The following is a 13,534-nucleotide window of genomic DNA, read 5'->3' on the forward strand; positions in this document are numbered from 1 at the left end:
CAGAAATATGAACATAAAAAGTTAAACCAATTCATTTGGGCCAGGACCCAATAAAATGATTAGAAAAAGTATGAGGAGACAGCAACTGGCATGTTTCTGGAATGAATAATAGCAAAGGCTAAGTGAAAACACTTTCAAAGATGCTGTCATGGACATCCAGCATGAGAAGGTATGTCTGCTATGTAGGGATAAATAATACATTTAGGAATTTCATGGCACTCTTTTCATTCAGAGAAGTAAAAGATGCCAAAGAGGAATATTAGCAGGTGGAAGTCCTTAATGTTCTTGGAGAGATCTGACAAGAAAAATAGAAGGCTGTAATATTGTAGGAATTGGATATTGAGCTCTTCAAAATTTAAATTTGATTTTGTTATTGATTCCACTCCAGACATCCGTAAGTGTATATATATATATATATATATATATATATGTATATATATACACACACACATATATACATATATATACATACATATATATATATACACACACACACACGCTGTATTTCAATAATTCTTTAGAACTCTCGTAGTTTTAAAAAAGAAAAAACAATAATAAATAAAATCTAAAAATCTTAACATTTCTGACAAGGCCCTGACCGACCTCTTCCACCTTATCTAATGGTAGTCTCTCCGTGGTTTGCTAACTCCAGGTACAATGACTTTGGTTTAAATCTTTGACCTTTTCATACTCCCTCTTCCCTTTACCTAGCAAACCATGTCCACCTGTTATAGATTGTAATATTATCTGCATTGCTTTTTAATATATATTACCAAATTATTGACATCATGAACTACGTGTTAAACTCATTGGGAGGGACACTGTAGATCTTTGCTTATTATTGTATCTTCAGAACCTAGTACAATATATGGCTCATCTGGGTTCATAACGGTAAAAACTCAAGACAAAAGGACCACCAGAGAAAAACTTATTAGGACAGAGTACAAGTCAAACTTTTGGATATAGGATCAGAATTGTGTTACCAATAACTAACGGAGAGAAGGGCACAACAAAACTGGCAGAAAGATGGCTGAACTGCCTGTCTAGGACGCTAGATAGGAGCTAACAATTGCAACCTTTAGCAAAATGATATTTTTATTTGATAATAATATAAAACAAATAAATAAGTTAACATTTACTGAGACTAAACCATATGTCAGAAGCTTGTCTACACATGTTAGCTATCTTATGTGAGACAGGCATCATTATTATCCTTAGTTTTGAAATAAGAACACTAAAGAACACCATTGTTTTCTTATCTGGAAATAATCTTGCAGCTACATCTATGAAGTAATGGAGCTTAAATATGAACCCACGCATTAGTGCATAGCATATATTCTTTGCTTGGATTGATATTCTATTTTTATGAAAGTGTACTCACACTTTATAAAGAACACAAGCAACAACTTCTTGGTGAAGGATGGTTATTATAACACAAATGCAGGGTAGTTCTGACTACAGTCTATTGTAATCACTTACCAACATACATGTCTTCCCCATTAGGCATTCCTTTTATAAAGAGCAGTAACTATACATTATTCGTCTCTATTTCCTAGAAACTTACTACACCTTTCCCAAAGCAAATATTCAATAAACAATGGCTTGCTAGGTATTTGAGATTTTGTTCCAATGTAAGGTTATTTCAATCAGATCTGTTCACTTTCAAAAACACTTGAAATTATTTCACATGAAAAAAAGAAAAATGTATGTGTGTTCATTTGTGTATGTGTATGAGCCAAATATACAAATATAATCTCTGCTATGTGATTATGTCTTAAATGTGTATGTAATAGATATGTCAAGTATTCCCTTAAAAACCTGTAGAAACCTCATTCAAAAGAAGAAGACAAACCAACCAATTTCCTCCTACTTTTTGCTAGCTTAGCAAATTAACAATCAAAACAGGAATGCACACACACAAAAAACTAGATATTGAAAAAAGCAAATTATTAATGAATTACATATTAAATTATCTTGAAGGTAATCATTAAACAATGTTATTAGAATCCTGTGTCCTTGTGCTTTGAAAAGAGAATATTATTTTAATTTTTGAAACTCCAAATTGGAAAAGGATCACATCCATCAACTGAGAAAACTAATCAAGATTATTTCACCTGTTTTTCACATGTTCATGATTTTTCATAAGAATATACAGAATGGATAGAAACTCTAATACAATTCACCATTTTATATTCTGTGTATTAATGGGGCATCTCAATGCATTTTATGTTTTAAAATTTTATGCAAACACCAATTATTCTTTCTATGTTTTATCTTCCAATAGTACCAAATACTTGGTATTTGAAAAAGTTCAAAGTTTTAATTGATATTAGCCAATATTTGTCCAGGTATTTGGTACTATAAATGGTATGTGTAATAGATGTGGAGATCAGTACTGCCAAGAAAGCATACTTACTTAGACCCACACATAAATAACCCCAATTTTTTAGGATGTATTGTTATTTTGAGTCAGAAGCATAAAGCTGAGAGCTTCACATAATTACTCAAATACCAATCTGCAAATCAAAGAATGAGAGACAATATATTTAATTACCTAATATTTCTGCATGCAGTAGGAAAAAATTCTGGGGAAATTATGGGAGTCAAAGAATCTGGGTTGTCTAGTAGAAGACTGTGGACAAAATTTCAAACCAGAAATTCAGATCCACTCCATATTGTGAATCAAACTGGCAAGCTATTTGTGTATAGATTCCACAATAAAGTAAGTCCCTCATTGGTGGTTAGGATCTCTTGAATATGTAAACTCTTATGGGTAACAAAGGCTTCTTTTAGGAAATGTATCCATTAGGGGCTGGATTTTAAATTATACTCTGGAAAATGTGTCACACTAGAACACTCTTCCCTTCTTTATAAATCACAAACAAATTTTTAAGAAATAAAATGCTGTTCCCTCCAGTTAATTCTATAGAAGAATCTCCAAGTGAGGACAGGGAAAATCTGGTCCCTGAAGTTTCCTTTTATTTTGGATACCTCTCTTTTTTGTTATAAAAACATCAGTAATCCCAGAAAAGGAATGTGAACGGTGTAGGGCCTGTTATTTTTTAGCACTTAGACCTAAAACTTTCTCTCCCTCCAGCCCTCCCATAGCACTGTAAGCTGGTCAATACTATGAGAAAATATACATTATAAAGCATTGTGAGAAGTAAATCTTCTCACTTCCACATTATGACTTCATTTCTAGAATTTGTTGGTCTCACTCCGTACATGTTTTTGGCTTTCTTCTTTGGGTAAGTGATCTCTTATTGCCTAGCACAGTAAAGCCCATACTATCATGTCTGTTATGAAAATCTGGGTCCCAGAGAAGGATACAAAGAAAAATACAGAAGTATATAAAGCTGTCACAAACACTCATGAGAAGGTCTTTGTATGGAAATAAGTTCAAATTATTTGGGTAAATACTAAAGAGAATTATTCCTTGATTGTGTGGGCTAAAGGGCCCATTTTCTAAATTGGGTTGCTATCTTGTTTTTGAATTTTAAGAGCTATTTGTATATTTTTCAATCAAGACCTATACTATATTAATGTTTTGCAAATATTTTCTCTTTGTGGCTTGCCCTTTCATTCTTTTTAACAATGTCTGACAGAGCAAAAATAAATGAATTTTAGTAAGTTTACTGAGTTCTGCAACTACTACTATCATTTTTATCACAAGCAGATATCACATATTTCAATACAACTTAGACCACTGAGTCTTTAGAAATTTTACCAAGATGGAAGTCTCTGAATTTGGTGAGGTGTACTTCATTTTCTGCCATGTTTATGGTATATGATGGCCTTTTGCTACTTCCTCCTTTCTAGGTCCATTAGCCGTGATGCTAGCCATTAAACCAAGATGTCCTGCGAGAGCATAAAACAATCAGTATCACTTCCTTTTAGGAAGAATTGCCATGGGCCTGAGAAAGACAGTGATATGTTTCTGCTGTCCATTGAAATTGCTTCTGGTGGTCTTTGCTAAATGACATGGAGGCAAAAGCAATGACAGCTCATTAGTTTCATACCATATTCTGGGGCTGTGTTAACTTGCTCTATAAAAGAGACAAAATTTGGAACAGCAGCTGTAATTGGAGTCACCCCCTGTTTATGACAATGTACTGTCGTTGACCAAGGCTATCCAATTTCTGCATAAGCCTAATTAGTGAACTCAATAAAGTGAGAGGGAGGACTGAACACCTCTCCTTTTATCATATATTTAATACTGCCCCTAGGCATGTCATATTGTTTTAGATTCCTAGTTTTATGTGAGTTACCAATTTCAGGCCACCTGTACTACTCTGAAGCTCTTGTTACAGATTTCAGCATTTGCACCTGGGTGAAGTCCCAAATGGAGTGTTTGCTGCTCACCCCACTCTCAGTTTGACTCATTAGTTCTCCTCCTATTCAACCCTTTTCTCTTCCACCCTCTTTCCTCCCCTCCTCCTTGCCCTAGTTTTGCTTCTTTTTCTTCTTTCTGTATTTATTTTCTGCCTCTTCTTTCATCTCACCCTCCTTCTTTTTTCTTGAAAACATTTTGCACTTTTCTATGTCACAACAGTATCTAAGTGTGTTGTGGGATGACCACATTCTAATTGCATTGCAACAGGAGACCTTGATATAATATCTTGTACAGCCTCCTGCCAGAAGTGTAATTAAAAATATGAAGTCATTGCTCATTAAAATATGATACATGATTTAAAAATCACAAGAAACTCAAGCTGTGGTAACATCCTCTGCAACTTTAGAACTTCTTCTTTCATTTTGAAACAAACTTTATAGCAACAGTTTCTTAGATTAGACATATCCTTTACTCTTGTCATTTTTAACATCGATTTAGATATCGAAATTTTAAATCTCTCTTCAGACTTTACTTGAAGTGGTTGTTTTTCTTTATGTGGCTTTCCCTATGTGTGTGGTTATTTTATATACAAAAGTAATTAATATGACAGTCTTTAATAAACAAAAATAAACTATTTTTTTCTTATTTACAGCACTTAGACTTTCCAGGTATCAATGGCAAGTTGAATTTATCCAGCGTTTTCTGACTGACCCTATGTTTAGCTATGAACAACAATCATTCTCACTCTTAGGTGTTTTAATCAGGATTACAGAGGCATACTTTTCCAAACAGTAAAATTTACTAATTTCAAGTACATAATTGAATGAGTTTTGACAAATGTATGCATGCTGTTGTATAAACACCCTTTGATTCATGAGGTAGAACACATCCTCCCCACCATGAAGTTTTCTCATGTCCACTTACAGTCAATTCTCTCCCCACATATTCAGATCCCAACTACAGTTCTGCATTATTTCAAAATAACTTTAGTGTCTTTAAAAATGTTATATAAATGAATCATATAAATGCAGTCTTATGTGTTCAACTTCTGAAATTGTGTTTTTCAAGTTCATGTATGTTTCAGTGGTATCTTCCTTTTTTAATACGTATTACTCTATAGAACCAACTATCTGTTCATAAGTTGATAGACATTTGGTTGATTCCAGGATTTGGCTATTGTAAATAAAGACGCTATATACAATAATGTGCAAATCTTTGTGTGATCATATGCTTTCTTTTCTATTGAAAGGATTTTTGAGATTACTGGATTGAAATATGTTTAGTGTATTGGTCGGTTCTATTAAGTTGGTGCAAAAGTAATTGGTGTTTTGCCATTACTTTTAATGGCAAATTACTTTTGCACCAACCTAATGGCACTGCTATAAAGAACTACCTGATACTGGGTAATTTATAAAGAAAAGAGGTTTAATTGGCTCACAGTTCCACAGGCTGTACAGGGAGCATGGCTGGGAGGCCTCAGGAAACTTACAATTACGGCAGAACACCAAGGGGAAGTAAGCATCTCTTCACATGGCAGCAAGAGAGAGAGATTATGAAGTGGAAAGTGCAACACACTTTCAAACAACCAGATCTTGTGAGAACTCACTATCACGAGAACAGCAAGGAGGAAATCTGCCTTTGTGATCCAATCACCTCCCACTACACCTCTTCTCCAACATTGAAGATCACAATTCAACATGGAATTTGGGTGGGGAAACAGAGTCAAACCATATCATTTCACTTTATAGGAAACTGCTACATTATTTTCCAAAAGTAGCTGTACAATTTTGAATTCTTAAAAGAAATATGTAAGAGTTCCAGAAGCTCCACCTTCTGTTTAATACTTGGTATTGTCAATAAAAAAAAATCACCATAGTAGATATGAAGTAGTAACCCATATGGTTTTAGTTTGCATGTTTCTAATGGCAATTGATGTAAAGCATCTTTCCATATGCTTATTGTCTTTTTGCATACGTAAGGTAAAGTTTGTATGCAATTATTTTGTCCACTGTATTTATTTGATGGTTTATCTGTGCATTAGTATTAAAATGCTTCTTTTATAACTGGGAAGAATCATTTATCATTTATGTTTTGCAAATATTCTCTCTTAATTTGTGTCTTTATTTTTTTATTTTGTTAAGGAACATTTAAGAAGGAAATGTTTTCATTTGATAAAGTCTAGTTTAACATTTTTATGCTTCATAATTTTCATATTAATCTATGAAATTTTCTTCCAATCTAAGATCTTGAATATTTTCTCCTGTATTATCTTTCAGAAGTTTTATAATTTAGGCTCTTGGATTAGATGTATGATTAACTTTAAGACATTTGTGGTGTGAGTAGATGTAGGTCAGAAGATACAAAGTGGTATTTATGTAGGATGAACAAATCTAGAGGTATAATGTACAACAGGAGGACTATAGGTAATAGTTGTCCTATATTTGCGATTCATGCTAAATGAATAGATTTTAGCTTTTCTTGTCACAAAAACAAAAACAAAATTGGGTAAATATGTGAGATGATAGATGTGTTAATTTGCTTCATTGTAGTAACCTTTTTATACATATGTATCACATAACTTCATAGCTTATATCTTAAATATATACAGTATAATTTATTTTTAAAAAGTGTCCATTTTATTGCTCATAGATACCAAATTTTTCAGCACTCATTGTTGCAACGACAATCTTTTCCTCTTAAATTGACTGCTTTGTTTAAATGAATAGACCATATATGCAATTTATTTCTGAACTCTTCTTTCTAGTATATTGATCTATCTGTCCACCCTTAGATCAATACACTGATGTCTAACCGTAGGCCAGATTAGTGTGTTCTTGATGGGGAAAATTCACATTGTGTATTGGGGGAAAAAAAGTGAAATTTGTGGCCAGAAAGACAATGGTTTAGCACCTCCAATCTATCAATTCCTCTCTGAGTGATGTTCAAATTGTAACTTTTCTTCTCTTAAGACCAATTACTTATTGTAAGATTGTTGTATGAAATAAATAACATTTGATTATATAAAGTGTGTTCCAACACCTAGTAAATTAGAAAACACTTCATATATATTACCTCTTTATCCTCTGTTCAGGATAATTTAATAGAAAAAAGATTAGCTACAGTGTTTGTGGTGGTAACATCCACATTATGAATTCATGAAAAGGAAAATCAGAGCTCAGTTTTTCAGCTAAACATGTACTTCTACTTTGCTACAATAAATTCTACTCTATTTCAAGCAAGATTGGCATATATGACCATGCTTAATTGATATAATAAATTAGAATCATAATTTACTATAGCTTCAGGTGGCATCTTTTTCTAAGGAATTATCTATTTCTTGAGTCATAGCAAGATATACAAAATATAGTAACAATGTTCTTTTCAGAATACTGAATAAAATACAGGTTTGTTCAACATTTTTATGTTTGCATTAGAGAATAGTGGCCTAATTTAGAAAACATTTGCTATTTTGTGGTTGACATAAGTAACAAACTAACTTATACATTGTATTTTATCCCACTATAAAACTCATTTCATGAATACTGGGAAGACACTTAACTAACAAAAACAGCACTAAGTATTTGAATGGATGTTTTTGAAATATGGTAGAGAATGAAAATTCAAAGGAAGTCTGGGTATTAGAGTTTAGTAAAATGATTGTTTATGTTTGTTCTGTAACTTCAAGACCCAGAATGCTGTATAATTGTAAAATTCGTAGTAACTACGGTCTACATCTTACTGCCCAAGACCTCACAGGTTAAATGGGCACGTACGTATTGTCTGAAACATACAAAGCTGTTCTTTTACTCTGGTTACATAATATTTTTATATTTTTTAAGTGAAAATGGTTTTTATTATTTTATTTTGTTAAGAAGCATTTAAAAAGGAGACATTTTCATTTGATAAAGTATAGTTTACCTCTTTTATGCTTCATAATTTTCATATCAATTTATGAAATTTTTTCCCAAACCAAGATCCTGAATATTTTCTTCTATATTATCTTTCAGAAGTTTTATAATTTTAGGTCTTAGATTAGGTGTATGATTAACTACATGGTTAATGGTAAAACTACCATTTGGTAAAACTACCAATGGCAAAACTAACTACATGGAAAATGGCAAAGACTAACTTTCCTTGAATTGATAAATGCTGTGTTCTGCTAAGTAAAGGTAAGTCCATATAGATATAGGACAATTTGAGGAAACAAAAATAATTGGTCATTATAATATTCAGAAAATCTTCAGCTTATCATTTTTTTCACAAGATTACAGAATAGGGTAGTATTTAGAAAAGTCCTTAAATCATATCTAAGTTTATGATACACCTATATCCCATGATTATGGGGCAACTTAATTACAAAGTCATAAAAATATATCGTAATTATTAAAATAATTCCATTCTTCTATATGTTTTGTTTTCCCTAAATTGCTTAATTTCAAATATGGTTAGGAGACACCTCATAAGTATTCAACTCTCTACCATTTGAATTTTAAAGTGGGTAATTAATTTTATTTTATATGGTTTTTAAAAATTTACAAATGACAGCTGGATTACACTATCATTTCTATTTTTTTATCAAATAATGCTTTATTTTTATCTTAACTTCTCTTCTTGTATAGTTTGTCAGTATTAGATTGACTCGGAGTTTTCTTACTCAGATAATTTTATTATAAAATATGAATAAATGATTGTGCACAAATTATAATGTCACAGTTTAATGAGTTTCAAAAGTGAATATGCCCGTGAAACCACTGGGATTAGGATACACACACACACACACACACACACACACACACACACACACAGAGACAGAGAGAGAAAAGGAGAGAGAGAGAACATGAAATCACTGGCATTTCAGAGGTGGCCATTGTTTACTTCCCTAGTCGCTAGTCTCCCCAAAGGAAACCCCTATTTTTACATCCATAGTCAAATATTATATTATTCGGTTTTTTAATTTTATATAAATGAAACGAAACAGTACTCATGTCCTTATCTTTTAATGAATATATTTATAAATGTTGTACACACAGTATTAAAACTGTTTATCCTCAATACTTTATAACAATGTATTTATATGGTATAATAATACCACAATTACTTTATCATTTTGTTGTAAATTAGTATTTATAAATTTTCCAGTTTGGGGCTGTTACACATTATACTGCTATGCCATTCTTGTGCATGTATTTTAATGAATTTAAATATTTATTTGGGTATTTGCACAGGATTGGAATTACTTGTTTATAGTAGATAATTCCAAGCATTTTTCTAAAGGGTTGAATCCAATTTGTACTACTATCAGAAGTGTGTTAACATTCCAGTTGCTCCTCTGTTTTATAAAAACTTTGCAATTATATGTTTTATGTTATTAATGCTAGTGCATGTGTAGAGATATCTTACATAATTTTAATTTTCATTTTCTTGATGTCTAATGATGTTGAGGACCTCTACATGTGTGTATTGGCTATTGGTTATTCTTTTTATGTACAACTTCTATCTATTCAAGTCATTGAACCAGTTTTCTTTTGGTTTCTCATTTTTTTCCTTACCTGCTTTTTATCCTGATTAATTATTCATAAGATTAATTAATAAGCCTACTGCAAATTCTTTTTTTTTTAATGCATGGGTTTTGTTTATTTAAAGCCTGGAAGGAAGCGTACTAAACCACAAACAATGGCTGTCTCTGCAGTGTAGGATGGAGGGGCTTGGGGGAGCACAGGAAGATTTTCATTTCTATTTTAAATATTTCAGCATCATCTCAATAATGGGTACATACTCAAAGGAAAATAAACCGTTCTACCACAAGACACATGCAGCCGCATATTCACTGCAGCATTATTCACAATAGCACCAGACATGGAATCAACCCAGGTGGCCAACTACAGTGGATTTGATAAAGAAAATATGGTACATACACACCATAGAACACCATGCAGCCACACAAAAGAATGAAATCATGTCCTTTGCAGCAATATGGTTGCAGCCGGAGGCCACCACTTCAAGCAAACTAACACAGAAACAGGAAACCAAATCCTGCACTTTCCCACTTATAAGTGGGAGCTAAACAGCAAGTACACATGGTCATAAAAATGGGAACAACAGACACTGGTGAATATAAGAAGGGGTAGGAAAGGGACTAAGAGCTGAAAAAAACTACTTATTGGACATTATTCTCACCCTTCTGTGATTAATTCACTCATAATCCAAACCTCAGCATCCAACAATATACCTATGTAACAAACCTGCACATGTATCCTGATTCTAAAATAAAAGTTGAAAAAAAAAATTCAGCATCACTTGTTTCATCTTATAGGGACATTGTAAAATAACAGAAATAAAACTAAGAGATTGGAAAGGAAAAAAGGGGAAAAAGAAAAGAACTCTCATCAGAATTCTGTCCTGCCCACTTCTGGAGTAAATAAGCCCAGGTTTATACTTTAAAGCCCCCAAAACAGCATCATCCACACCACCTTATCAGATCCGCAAAGCAATTCTAACTTGGCAGAAAGGGGTAGTTATTGCAGGTAGTTATCCTGCAAATGGGGAAACTGAGACTCAGAGAGTGCAGTGACTTGCCCAAGGGCCCACAAGAAGTGGTGTCCCCGCAGAGATGGAGAGGGAACCCAGCTCTCTGGAATCTCAGGCCTCTGCTCCTTCTGCTGCAACTCTTCAAGTAAGAGGAGCAGGTGCGGCGATAAGTGTTTATAATCACGGGCCAAACATGCAGCCCTGTTCAAGTTTGTGCCTCAACTCCTTCAATTCCTCTTCATGTTTCATTTTTTCAAAGTTGGTATTCATCTTTCTAAGTAATTTTCATCCTTCTAGCTCTTCTTTTCTGAAGGCAACATGTTTTAGAAAAAGCAGGGACTTGAGATCTGACTGTCACTCCCCAGCTCAAGTGCCTTCACCTCTCTGAGCCTCATCTGACAGAGAGGACAAAGCAGACACACCCCAAAAGCAGGTTCAGAGCAAACCCATGCCACTGGGGGGAGGCAAACTGAAAAATAGTGGGAAAGTCTAAATGCATATTTCTTTTAATAGTTTTTTTAAACTATAGTTAGATTGTAGTCTAATTATTGATTTTATGCCTTGATGATTTTCACTTATGGAGTCCTTGTTAAAAATCTGTTCCTGCCAGATTCATAAAGATTTAATTCTACATTTATATATTTATATCATTGATTTGTATCTACAGTGTGAGGTAGGGGTAAAGATAAATATTTTCTTTTTCTTTCTTCCTTTTTTTTTTTTTTGAGACAGAGTATTGCTCTGTTGCCCAGGCTGGAGTGTAATGGCACTATCTTGGCTCACTGCAACCTCTGCTTCCTGGGTTCAAGGGATTCTCCTAACTCAGCCTCCCAAGTAGCTGGGATTACAGGCATGCACCACCATGCCCAGCTAACTTTGTATTTTTAGTAGAGATGGGGTTTCACCATGTTAGTCAGGCTGGTCTCCAACTCCTGACCTCAAGTGATCCACCCACCTTGGTCTCCCAAAGTGTTGGGATTACATGCATGAGCCACCACACCCAGCAATTTTCAAAAATTTATTCAATCAGCATCAAATTTGAAAACACTTACCTTTTCTTTATATAGTACTATCCTTTTTATCATAATCATGAAATCATTTATATGTCATCTGTCCCTAATCTACAAATAATTTTCCATTGGTCTCTTTGCATATTCTTATAGCAATAGCACATTCTCATTTTTTTTAAATCTGGTAATATACATTCCTTAGATTTGTTGTTTTACATAATTGCCTTGGCTATTTTGCCCATTTTATTCCATGCATATTTGAGAATCAGTTTATCAGTTTCAAATAAAAACAAGCAATTATAAAAGGAATTAAATTTACTCTGTAGAGGCACTTAAGAAAAACTATTAACAAAATTTAATCTTTTAATCTATGAAAATATTTTCCTCAATTTGCTTAGTTATTGTTTAATTTCTAGTTATAGATGTTTTGTGTGTATATGTGTGTTGTAGGTTCTAAACATCTTTTATTAGATTCATTTCCAAGTATTTGATATATTCAATGCTACTACAAATAATTTCTTTAAAATTTCATTTTCTAAATATTTATGGTATAAAGCAAAACAATATGTTTTTTTAAAGTATTCTTTTACATCTAGTAACTTAAAAAAATCTATTTCACATATCTGACCGTTTACTGTATTAGTCTGGGTTCTCTGGAGGGACAGAACTAATAGGATAGATGTATATATAAAGGGGCATTCATTAAGGAGTATTGATCACACAGTCACAGGGTAAGGTCCCACAAAAGGCTGTTTGCAAGCTGAGGAGCAAGGAGGGCACTCTGAGTCCCAAAGCTGAAGAACTTGGATTCTGATATTTGAGGGCAGGAAGCATCTAGCATGGGAGAAAGAGGTAGGCTGGGATGCTTAGCCAGTCTAGCCTTTTCACGTTCTTCTGTCTGCTTTTAATCTGGCTGTGCTGGCAGCTAATTAGATTGTATCCACCTAGATTGAGGGTGGGTCTGCCTTTCTCAGTCTACTGACTCAAATGTTAATCTCCTTTGGCAACACCCTCACAGACACACCCAGGAACAATACTTTGCATCCTTCAATTTAATCAAGTTGACACTCAATATTCACTGTCACGTTTACGTTTACTTAAAGAAAAAAAAAGCTTCTTGAGCTCATCTACTCTGAAACCTTATTTTAAAAATAATTCTAATGAGTTCCAGAAAAAAAACAACTTTTCTAAAGAAAATATCAGAACTGTGGTGAGAAAAATCTAGTCTCTTGATATCCAGAGTATTTGGCTTTCCACTACAAGCACACAGAATGTATATTCTATTTGAAAATAAAGTAAAATATACAGAAGATAATATTGTTTTAATTTATCAGAGATGTTAGATAACAATCTCGTAGATAGCCAAAGACTCATTGCTCAGTCTAGAAGTAAAACTTAATCACCTACCTAAATATTAGCATATTAAAAAAATCTCAATAATACTTTATGTCATTCTGAAAATTTATTTGATTTTACTGAGATGAATCATCTTTGTAGTCATAAGTATTACAAGTATTAGTAGGCAATATCATCATAAAAAGAAACTAATAAAACATTTTATTTATAGTCACTAATTTTTTAAATGTAATAGATAACCAGAACTGTAATTTACCCCTTGTTTATATATAGCCATGCATTCTTCTCAAAAGGTTTAATGTGTACA

This window comes from Homo sapiens, chromosome 4 (genome assembly GCF_000001405.40).
Source record: "Homo sapiens chromosome 4, GRCh38.p14 Primary Assembly".
Classification (NCBI taxonomy): Eukaryota; Metazoa; Chordata; class Mammalia; order Primates; family Hominidae; genus Homo; species Homo sapiens.